Source organism: Homo sapiens, chromosome 2 (genome assembly GCF_000001405.40).
Source record: "Homo sapiens chromosome 2, GRCh38.p14 Primary Assembly".
In the NCBI taxonomy this organism is placed as follows: Eukaryota; Metazoa; Chordata; class Mammalia; order Primates; family Hominidae; genus Homo; species Homo sapiens.
The window spans coordinates 190308445-190320892 of NC_000002.12; the positions used below are offsets into that span (position 1 = coordinate 190308445).

Below are 12448 nucleotides of genomic sequence, written 5' to 3' on the forward strand. Positions count from 1 at the left end.
GTTCTGCTCACATGAACGGATTAACCCATTCATAAATTAATGGATTAATGAGTTAATGAACCAATGGGTTATTATGGGAGTAAGACTGTAGGTTTATAAGAGGAAGAGGCAGACCTGAGCTAGCACACTTAGCCCCCTTGCCACATGATGTCCTATACCGCCTTAGGACTCTACAGAGGTCCCACCTGCAAAATGGCCCACACCAGATGCAACACCTTGACCTTGGACTTCTCAACCTCCGTAACGATAAGAAATAAATTCCTTTTCTTTACAAATTCCTCAGTTTTAGGTATTCTGTTATAAGCAACAGAAAATGGACTAACACAGTTAGGAAGGGATATGCCAGGCTTCGTATCCCCATCTCCACTTAGGCTTAACAGAGGCACAGTTGCAATAGTTACGTAGTGCCCACTCTGTCAGAGGCTATAGGGCGTACAAAGTAAATCTATGAAAACAGATAGCCAGGATTCAAATCACACCTCATAATTACTAGCTGTGTGACATTTGGGCATGTTACTTAGCCTCCCTGTCCCTCAATTTCTGCCCTGTTATATAGAGATAAGGCTACAATCCCTTAATTCCTAAAATTTTCTAGATTTTGGAAAATAGTACATACTAAATACTTCATAAAACACCCCAAGAGAAGTCTAGGTCCTTGTAATACTTGATTACATAGTAATAAAGGGTTTTTATATTTATGCACCAAACCATAAGTGTTTACACTAGTTAGGATAAAAACTAAAAGAGCTTCAAGTACATCCAGGTCAGATTTTGCCAATGTATTTACCACAAACTAACAAAAAACTTTTGGTTTTGAGGTTTTAGAATTGCAAATAAGAGATCTGTAGTATGTACCCCAGAGGACTATCATGAAAATTAACTGAGCTAACCCATGACAAGTACTTACAATACCACCTAGAATACAGTGATATCAGATGACTTGTTATTTTTATGTGCAATTTACTTGTCAGCCTCTATAAGAGATATAAAAGTGAATAAAATTTATTTCTTCCTTATAATCTGATAAACTTTGGATATTTAACTTTGCAAGGTACCATTACAGTAATAGCTAACATGTATAAAATGACTGTCATATGCCATGCACTATGCTAGATTTTTTTTTTTTTTTTAAGACAGAGTCTCGCTCTGTCGCCCAGGCTGGAGTGCAGTGGCGCATCTTGGCTCACTGCAAGCTCTGCCTCCCGGGTTCACGCCATTCTCCTGCCTCAGCCTCCTGAGTAGCTGGGACTGCAGGTGCCCGCCACCATGTCCGGCTAATTTTTGTATTTTTTTTTTAGCAGAGATGGGGTTTCACAGTCTTAGCCAGGATGGTCTCGATCTCCTGACCTCATGATCCACCCACCTCGGCCTCCCAAAGACTATGCTAGATTTTTTAATGCATTATTGTGATGGTTAATATTGACTGTCAACGTGATTGGATTGAAGGATGAAAAGTATTTTTCCTGGGTATGTCTGTGCAGGTATTGCCAAAGGAGATTAACATTCAAGTCGGTGGACTGGGAGAGGCAGACCCACCCTCAGTCTGAGTGGGCACCATCTAATCAGCTTCCAGAGTGGCTAGAATAAAAGCAGGCAGAAGTTGGAAGGACTTGACTTGCTGAGTCTTCCAGCCTTCATCTTTCTCCGGCACTGGATGCTTCCTGCCTTCAAACATCAGCTTCCAAGTTCTTCAGCTTTTGAACTCTTGGACTTATACCAGTGGTTTGCCAGAGGCTCTTGGGCCTTTGGCCACAGACTGGAGGCTGCACTGTCAGCTTCCTAACTTGTGAGGTTTTGGGACTCAGACTGATCCATCACTGGCTTCCTTGCTCCTCAATTTGCGGACGGCCTATCATGGGACTTTATCTTGTGATCATGTGAGTCAATTCTCCTTAATAAACTCCCTTTCATATATACATATGTCCTATAAGTTCTGTCCTTCTAGAGAACACTGATTAATACAATTATCTTATTTATCATTTATAAGCACTCTAAGGTAGATATTATTATTATTCTCACTTTATACATATCAAAAGGGAAGCTGTAAGAGACCAAGTAATCCACCCAAGATTAAGTAGTGAACCCATTATTTAAACTCAGGCATTCTGACTTGTAAGAACCATGGTTTTAACCATAATCTTATGCCACCTCCTACAAGGTGCGTGTGCCATGTCTTGACACTCAGTTGAGAACCATGATGTACCTAAGGTCAAGGAAATCTGCCATACCAGTATTTCTCTACTTCTCTAACAATGACATTTTAAGTTACACATACAAATAATGCCAGCAAAACAAACACAATAACTTACCAAATGGTGCAGTATGGTATTAGTCCTTTTGAATGCATTAAACCTGAAACAAATGTGGAAAACAATGAGAACAGTAATGTGGGTAGTCATGTCTCAGTTGACAAATAGTATATCACCTTTTGTTTCAGCCTCTTCTAAAAGGTATTACCAGAACAAAAAGTTTTAAAAGGTTTAGCTCTCATTCACTGCTGGTAGGAACATTAAATGGTACAGCCACTTTGCACATGAATTTTATGGTAACTTTATTCATAACTGCCAAAATGTGGACGTAACCAAGATGTTCTTCAATGGTTGGAAGACAAACCAATTTCAATACAACCATATAAAATATTATTCAGCCATGAAAAAAAGAAAAGAGCTATTATGCCACAAAAAAAATTGGACGAAACTTAAATGCATACATACTACTAAGCAAAAGAAGCCAGTCTGAAAAGGCTACATACTCTCATTTCAACTGTATGATATTCTGAAAAGGGCAAAATTATGAAATCAGTAGAAAGATCAATGGTTGCCAGGGGTTTGGGGGACGGAAGGAGGGATGAACAGTTGAAACACAGGAGATGTTTAGGGCAGTGAAACTAATCTGTATGATACTGTAATGGTTGATACATGTCCTTATTATTTGTCAAACTTTTCTGCTCAAATTTGCAGGTCATTTTTTCCATCAACTTATAACTACTCTAAAAAATAAAGTCATTAATCTTAAGAAAAAAGGTTTGTTAAAGATGCAATACAAACAGCATTCTCAGACACTAGAGAGAGGTATAAATTGGTACTGCCTTTCCGGTAAACAGTCTGGAAATACAAATCCACAGCCTTTAAAATGATCACACCCTTCAATCCACTAATTCCGCAAGCATTTGCACTAGGGAAATCTCAGAAATATGACCAAAGTCTGATTGATAAATATGTTCACATTATTTACAGGATGGAAAAACTGAAAACAAAGTAAATGTCTAAGAGTAGAGCATTATTTTAAAGACTGTGTCTATTAATACAGCCATTACACAACCACTAAAAATACTAACATGGAAAAGTAGTGACAAATCACAAAAGGAGAGCAGGCTACAAAACAATAAACACAACACACTTCTATTTTTTGCTGTCTTAAAAGTGCTTGTTGGGCTAGGAATACAAAGCCTGAGACACAGCTTGACCAAAGTGACCACTAATAATGGACATGAGAATGGTGAGGGTGGGGGCACCTGGGAAGGGGCATGAACAAACACGGAATGTTGGAAATTGTCTCTATCCCAATGCTGATTACAGGACTGCAGGTATAAGTTCACTAAGCTATAAACTTCAGAACGGTGTACTCAAGTGCCTTATGTAAATTATAATAAGAAAGTAAAAGACAACACCGGGAACGGCAGTGATTGAGAGAGGCATGAGGAGGGCCTCTGGAATGCTTGTTTCTCGATCCAGGTGCTGGTGATTTAGGTATGTTTCATTTGTGAAAATTCATCAAGTTGTATCATTATGCTTTGGGCTTTTTAAAAAATGTCCTAAAAGACATAGCTCTTGCACTCGAGAAACCCACAACGTAATGACAGATGTGCAAATAAAAACACTATAGTTAGAATATACTAAGATGCATGCTTTTTGTTTAAGAAGCTAAATTTAAGATCTATGGAAAGAGGTCAAAGCTAGAATCAGTAGCTGCAGCAGCCTGATAAGGGCTGTGCACATGTGCAGATACATATACCAACTAATGGAACTGATAAACTGACAATCTGTTAATTTTTCAAGAATACTCTGAGATTATATGAAGACCAACAGCCTGAGGTTTCACAAAAGGCAATATCACCAGTTACCACTTGTAACAACTTGGATGACTGAATTTATAAAAATATTTGTAATCCAACTTGCCTTTCAGAATTTATATGACTTTTTTATATTACATTCAAATTGAATAATACTATACAAAAGAGAGAAACAACCTATTTGTTTAAGTCAGTTATAATTCACATTCCTGAACTAGCATTTTCTGAATTTGTCTCACAAGTAAAATGTAGCCCAGTAATTCCAAGACTGGTCTGTACATTAGAATCACCTGGAGACTCGGCTGGGCATGGTGACTCATGCCTGTAATCCCAGCACTTTGGGAGGCCAAGGCAGGCGGATCACCTGAGGTCAGGAGTTTCAGACCAGCCTGGCCAACAAGGCGAAACCCCGTTTCCACTAAAAGTACAAAAATTAGCCAGGCATGGTGGTGGGCGCCTGTAATCCCAGCTACTCAGGAGGCTGAGGCAGGAGAATAGCTTAAACCTGGGAGGCAGAGTGTAGAAAGTAAAAAGTTTCCTCTTCAAAGTTTTTCTTCCTGTTAAAGAATAAATCATAACTGTTAGAAATAATAATTTCTTTTAAAGACTAACTTTCTTCATGCCTCCTTGCTTTGTGCTAGTAACTCTTTGTTAAGCCCTATCCTACGTAACTATTGGACATGCTCACGGGCATGTTCGAGCTCACAGCCTATTCCCCTTATTTAAAAATGTTATTGCTTCCTTAAACCTTTCATAAGCAACTTCTTTGTTCTTCCCTACACTTACCTATTTAGGCTATTAGCATATTGGGTATCAGTTTAAGAGTGTGAGGTCCCACTCCAGCCAATGGATGCAGGACACAGCATTAAGGACAACCCAAATGCGTAAGGGATAAATATGTCTGCTTTTCCTTTGTCAAGTGTGCTCTCGCCATTGTTCCATCTGCAATTGGGGACCCTTTCTGCAGAAAGTAAAAATGGCCTTGCTGATAAATCTTTTGCCTCCGTGCTGACTTTTCTTCACAACACCACTTATCTAACAATTTTGGTATTTCTAACACAGAGGTTGCAGTGAGCCGAGATTGTGCCACTGCACTCCAGCCTGGGTGACAAGAGACTCTGTCTCACAAAAAAAAAAAAAAAAAAAAAGGAATCACCTGGAGACTGCTAAAAATTCCAAAGCCCAGGTCACACCCAAGACCAATTAAATCAAACTCTGGAGGTGGGGCACAGGCACAGATACTTTGTTTGAAGCTCCCCTAAATGATTTCAAAGAACGAAGCTGTCATTAAAAATCAACACTAACACTTTATAATTATGAAACTGAAGTGACAGATCATATCTTATTTAGGGATACTTTCTAAATAAGGTTTTCATAATTACTTTTAAAGTGTGAACTACACTACCCTAAAACACCACGTCTAAAATGTTTTCAACTTGACTCAATTTTATCTTTCTGGAGATTTTAAGCATAAAAATCCAGAATGACTTTGGATTCCTTAATGAGGCCAGTACCCAAATGTAGGTTCAAGGTTCAAGAGGGTGTTGCCAGATTTGCAACTATTATGTAACAGTGTAAGTACTAACTGCAGTGTTTTAACAAGTAAACAAAGAGAACTCAGGACTAACTCCAAGTCCCAGTTTTATATATAAGACAGAATTTTATTTAACTCAAAGAAAGTTAATGTAAACCTATCAAACAAAGCCACTGTACACAATATTTATAGGTCACAAAAATCTGTGGACCAGTTACTACAAAAAAAATATATATATATGTATATATACATATATATGTGTATATATATGTATATATGTATATATACATATATATGTGTATATATACGTATATATATACGTATATATGTGTATATATATGTATATATATACGTATATATGTGTATATATATATACACACACAACCAAATTCCTTGTCAAATACTATATAATCACATTGCTTCCATTTGGTTGGTTGGTTGGTTTTGAGACAGAGTCTTGCTGTGTCACCCAGGCTGCAGCGCAGTGGCACGATCTCAGCTCACTGCAACCTCTGCCTCCCAGGTTCCAGCAATTCTCCTGCCTCAGCCTCCCGAGTAGCTGGGATTGCAGGCATGCGTCACCACACCCGGCTTATTTTTGTATTTTTAGTAGAGACGAGGTTTCTCCATGTTGGCCAGGCTAGTCTTGAACTCCCAACCTCAGGTGATCCGCCCACCTGGGCCTCCCAAAGTGCTGGGATGACAGGTGTGAGCCACCGCACCCAGCCCATTCGTTCTAATTCAAATTCAGCTGTCACTTAAAATTTGATATTAGCTTTTATACCTCAAAATGTAATTGAGAATTCAGTGTCCCCAGGTAATTCTGAATTTATGATCTTTCTTTTCTATTGGTTCCAAAACTGCCATCTGGTGGAGAGGAAGAGGGCATGCACCTCTCCGCTCCTTTTTTTTTTTGAGCCTGAGTCTCTCTCTGTCGCCCAGGCTGGAGTGCAGTGGTGCAATCTCGGCTCACTGCAGGCTCTGCCTTCCGGGTTCACGCCATTCTCCTGCCTCAGTCTCCTGAGTAGCTGGGACTACAGGTGCCTGCCACCATGCCCGGCTAATTTTTTGTATTTTTAGTAGAAACGGGGTTTCACCATGTTAGCCAGCATGGTCATGATCTCCTGACTTCTTTCTTGATCCGCCCGCCTCAGCCTCCCAAAGTGCTGAAATTACAGGCATGAGCCACTGTGCCCGGCCTGCTACTTCTAATTTCTTAATTAACTTTATCAGGCTTATTTCCTTCAACTGATGTCAACTTGGCTTTTTAGAACAGTTATTCTCAAAGTATGGTTCTTGGACAAGTACCATCAACATCCCCTGGAAACTGACTAGAAACTGAAATTCTCTGCCCCACCCCAGACCTACTGAACAAGAAACTGTGGGGCCCAGAAATCTGTGTTTAACAAACCCTCCAGGTGGTTATGATGCGTGAAGTTTAAATAAACAACTGTCTTAGATGAGAACTTTATCACTCAGGAACTTTTTGCAATTATCCAATAAAACAAACATGGCCTCACGAAATTAAACAACTACATGAAACTGCTTAAGCAGGAAGAAGACATCACAAAGTAGTGCTTAGTGAAAATTATTATCCCAGAAGTAGGCAAGGTGTGAACAGAGCAGAAAATCAAGTCCAGGAGGCCAATAATTTAGGCATGGGGTGATGAAGAACAGCAGATGTGGAAACAGAAGGGAGTGATATTATTAAGAGTTTTTATAAAGTAAAAACTCAATGGAAAGGAATGTCAAAAATGACTTTAAGATTTCAAGCCAGGACAACCAGGAGAATATAGAAAAGACAGGGAAAGAAGCTAGCTGGTTTGCAGGACGAAATACAAATTCAATTTTTTGAATTTGAATTTGTACTGACATAAGCAGAAATAGTCAACAGAAGAAAGAGACTAGAGGTTGAAAGAAAAGTTAGAACTAAAGGTATATCTTATGCCACATGCATGTACAATCACTGAGACACTGGAATCTCTCAGCTTTCTGTAAGGAATAAATGAGAAGGCTGCAGTTGAAAACTAATTGCCAGAAAGATGCCAACTGTAACTGTGGTATTGGTCAGCAGCATTTTATTTTTGTATTCTATTTATTTATTTATTTTTAGAGACAGGGTCTCACTCTGTCACCCAGGCTGGAGTGCAGTGGTATGATACATGGGCTCAAATGCAGCCTCAATCTCCTGGACTCAAGCCTCCTGAACAGCTAAGACTACAGGCGCACACCACCACACCTGGCTGATTTTTAAATTTTTTGTAGAGAGACAGTCTATGTTGCCCAGGCTGGTCTCAAATTCATGGGCTGTGATCCTCCAGCCTCAGCCACCCAAAGTGCTGGCATTACAGACTTGAGTCACCATGCCCAGCCGAGCAGTTTTAAAACTACTAACATTATCTGGATGGAATGGTAGAGATTAAAAAGAAGAAAAACAGAAAAAAACTACTAACATTTAAAAATCAAGACATTTCACCTAAAACTGCACTTTTTCCAGGTTTTCCAGAAAAATCAGTAATAATGGAAACCCTGGGTCTATATTCTATAAGGGCAACAATGGCTGGGGCTGAGAAGCTGCCTCCTCTCTAGAGCACTCTCTCCAGTTCACCAGTCCCCCATGCTGCCATCTAGCCAGCATCTTTCAATGCTTCCTTCTCAGCCTCTGCATTCAGGCTCATGATTCCTAACACAGAAAACAACCTAAAAGAGCAACAAAGATTGAGCCTTTGATCAACTAAGAAACAACTAACTAGAAGTAAAAGAGAAGACAGGCAAAGAGCAAGAACCAAAACAATACAGTTCAGCAGAGGATGGAGGAGATGGAAAAGGCAATGAGGCCTATTAACAACCTAAAAGTACCCTCTTCCTGTTATTTCTATTTTTAGAGACTAGGTTTTTCCATGTTGCCCAGGCTAGAGGGCAGTGGCACAATCATAGTTCACTGTAAACTTGAACTCTGTGGCTCAAGTGATCCTCCCACCTCAGCCTCCCAAGCTGGAAGGATAGGCGTATGCCACCATACCCAGCTAGTTTTTTTATTTCTTATTTTTTGTAGAAACGGGGTCTTGCTATGTTGCCCAGGATTGTCTTGAACTCCCATGTTGGCCTCTCAAAGTGCTAGGATTACAGGCATGAACCACCACACCCAGCGAAGAGCAACCTCTCTGATGAGGCTTCCTGACTCCCTCTCCCTATCTAAATCTGGCTCTCATAACTGTACTTGTCCCTTAAGACACTTACCAGAATTGGTAATCAAAAATTACTTTTGTCTAATTATGTGTTTCCTATCTGCTCTCCTTTCAGACTCCAAGGGCCCTACATAAGGAACAGTAGGAAAACCAAGTAGTCCAGAGTGGCTACAGGATAATAGAAATGCCTAGAACTGTGCTTCCCAGCAAGTAGAACAGAACAGTAGGTAATTGTTCATCCATGAATATACTGGGGCCAAATCTGTGAAATCCAGACTGGTAAAACTGTATTTAATTGCATAAGCAGAAGGGCACCTCTGTGAGATTCTGAGAAGAATGGCAGGCACTGAAGTAAAACCTTAGCGAGATTAACCTGGCAATCTTGTACAGAAACAATTCACACTGGGAAGAGGAAAAAGTGATTAACTTTGAGACTACTGTTGAAACCTGAATCCACAGGAAGAGGTTAAGGTTTGGGAGTGTGGGAGAACTTAGGTAAGTTTGAGAATCTAGAAGAATGATAGTGCCAAGAGAGACAAAGAGTAAGGGTTATACTTACGTGCAAATTTATTTTTCTTTTCCTTTTTTCCTTTTTTTTTTTTTGAGACAGAGTCTCACCCTGTCGCCCAGGCTGGAGTGCAGTGGCATGATCTCGGCTCACTGCAACCTCCCCCTCCCAGGTTCCAGCAATTATCCTGCCTCAGCCTCCCAAGCAGCTGGGATTACAGGGCCCTGCCACCACACCCAGCTAATTTTTTTGTATTTTTAGTAGAGACGGGGTTTCACTATGTTGGCCAGCCTGGTCTTGAACTCCTGACCTCAGATGATATGCCCGCCTCGGCCTCCCAAAGTGCTGGGATTACAGGTGTGAGCCCCCGCGCCTAGCCCTTAAGTGCAAATTTATATATGAGGTGCAACTGAGGCATTCAGAGGGTTGTGACCAGCATTAGAGCTCAGGGCAAGTCAGGTTAGACAAAAATTTGAGTTACCCTAAGACAGATGATTTGGGAACCAAAAAAAAAAAAAAGTCCAAGAGCTAAACTGGCACTGGGGTAAGGAGAGGCGGTGGAGAGTGGCATTAGAAAAGTAGGCCAGTACCGAAGAAGCCAAGGGAGGCCAGAGTTCAAGTGGGGCTGCCCAACACTGTCAACCATGGCCCAAGGCCTTTTTTCCTCTCAGAAACACTTTCCGTGGCACCCTATTCCCTTATACAGTTGTGGGTTAGGGTATTGTGGACTGGACCATCTTGGCCTCTGCTTTCTAGGATAATACCCACTTCAGGGCTGAGTCTGGAAAAGGCATCTCAGATCAAAGCCCCCAAAATGGTCCTGGCCTCACCTACAGAGTACTGCATCTTGGAACGTGGGGTGGAAGAAAGCCAAGCTGAATTGTGGAAATGACAGATCCTTTCCTAAGTCAGCTAACTTTAACAAACATGTCTTTCCAGTTTGTTTCTCTATTTGCTATTTGCTGACAACACTGAAAAAGCGGCAGTAACGATTACGTGTACTGATTTTCTTAGCATTTACTAAATCTCTCCATGAGCTGGTGCAAGGACAACTAATTTTAAGGTATTAAAAAAACAAACAGAAAAGCAACTCTTAAATGTATAACAAAAATTTACTGAGAATTAGGTCTGTGGATACAGTGTTAGACATCTAGACACTTTCCCCTGAAACTATTCTTCTTAAGTCAAGGAAACACCTCCATCCCTTTTCAGGAAACCCAGAAGGCAAACTCTAAGGCTTAAAGAATCCAGTAATTTAAGTCGTCCTTATTTTAAAGAAATAAGGACGGTTCTCCCTTCAAGTGGGCGCAGCTGCTACCTGGTATGACAGTACAGGGCCAGGCAGTGGGCTGTTTAAGGCGCATGCAGCCTAAAGATGATGGCTACCAGATTTCCTAGGCTGAGCTCAAAGCGCAGTGAGGGGTACTTTCAAAAAGTTAAACAATGTTTGCAAACATGCTCCCCCATGCCACGTTAAATGTCCCTCAACACTAGCCTGAAAGTTCCAAATGCCTATACTGACGCTGCAGCCATGCAAGAAAGCTGAATAAAATCACACCACGGGCAGAGAGAGGTGCAGCAACTGGCAAAGCACCTGTGTGTGCTGGCTGCACAAAACATGCCGCACAGTTCCGCTAAGCTAAATCTGTCCGTGTCCCCAGACTGCACCCAACTTTTAAGAAAGGAAAGAAACTGAGGCCAAAAGAATTAAAGTCGTGTGGGGACAAGCCTGAATTAAGAGCCAGAGTGGCAGAAAACCAGAGTGCTGCTGCAAAGAAGATGCTAGAGGGAGAAAGGAAAGACAGGGACGGGGGCTGGGGCTTGGGGAGGGCCAAGGTTGGGGTCTCACAGCGGCGCCTCTGAGCGCGACTCGAAACTTCGAGGCCAGCAGTCTCCACCCCCGGCCCTTTTCCCACTGTGGCGAGTGCCGCTGAAGAGCCTGCCCTTGGCCCCTCGCTCTCTCACTCACCTCGACATGAGCCTCCACATCTCGCGCTGCCCCATCGCCAAACACTCCGAAGCTAAAGCAGCAGAGCGAGAATCTCCCGGACCGTTCCAGCGCCTCGCGTGAGCCCCGCCCACCGCCGTCCTGCGCCGCCGGGCACAGATGACAAGTCCTCCAGGAAGCCAGAGCGACCGTTTCCGCTACGCGACGGGGAAGGGCGGGGCAAGAACGACGCCTGGAGGAAATAGTTGAGGGAGAGGAAGGGATCGGGGACCGGGCCAGGGAGAAGGCGGAGAGCGAGCTGAGGCGGAGCGGGAAGAGGGAGGATAGAACGGACTAGGGCGGATTCGCAGGAAAGGAGATTGCCCTCTAGAGGCTGTCTTAGCCCAAAGCGCAACCTGTTGTCTAGGCTTGGCCTGCCAATTTGACCAGCAGGGACTGATGTGAAAGACTTTTCTGGAATTTTAGTAATTTTTTATTAAAACGTAAACTTAGTATTCTTTGAGACTCAAGTAGAGGAATTACAGTTGATAAAGGACATCGATGTAGTTTATTCATTCCTAACCCAATACAGCCGAATTCCTTTAATATTAGGATTGAGACATTTTCATTTTTCTTGGGAAAAGTTACAGATCTCCCACTCTTCCTCAAAGACACACAAGAGTTGTCTGATTAAGACATAATAGATATGTCTTCCCAACTAAAGTAAAAGTTGCTGTTATCAGTGGAAGCATAATTACATTCAGAAAGTAGCTTACTCTTAAATGAAACCAACATTTAACTCAACTACTAGGATCCACTGTTAAATTGAGGAAAACGTTCCTCCGCTTCCAGATCCACCCAGATGTGTAGCAGAAGACATTTCATCGCCACTATTAAGTATTGACACATTTATCAGAAAGAAGAAATCCGGTGACAAATTTCAGAGAGGACACATGAAAGGAGTTATTCTTAGTACCTTGATATTTAAAGAGATACACTGTTGAGACTTTGATCAAAAATTACGTTGCTAACCTAGGTCAAATGTAATAACCAAATGCCCACTGAGAAGAGGACAGACAACAGACATCACAGAAGGAACTCCTTACCTGCAATTTGGTTTTTAACTGGCTACAGGACATCACCATCTGACATCACCATCATGCCTCATTCACTGCGCACAGAAATGAACCATTCATCTGACCTAGCATGGTTTACTGGA

General features: G+C 41.6%; 1 protein-coding gene across 5 annotated transcripts in view; it reads right to left on the reverse strand.

The window, feature by feature from the left end:
• The window catches only part of HIBCH (3-hydroxyisobutyryl-CoA hydrolase), a 130092-nt gene extending 118710 nt beyond the window's left edge, over positions 1-11382 (reverse strand). For all 5 annotated transcript variants that reach the window (XR_922903.3, XM_047443905.1, NM_198047.3 and 2 more), the window contains exons 1-2: positions 11272-11382; positions 2310-2352 (exon numbers count right to left, since the gene is read on the reverse strand). Coding sequence is in view for 4 of the 5 variants with exons in the window: in XM_047443905.1 (XP_047299861.1) it covers positions 2310-2352; positions 11272-11306 (78 nt within the window). In the remaining variant the exon portion in view is untranslated. The remainder of the gene's footprint in view (positions 1-2309; positions 2353-11271) is intronic.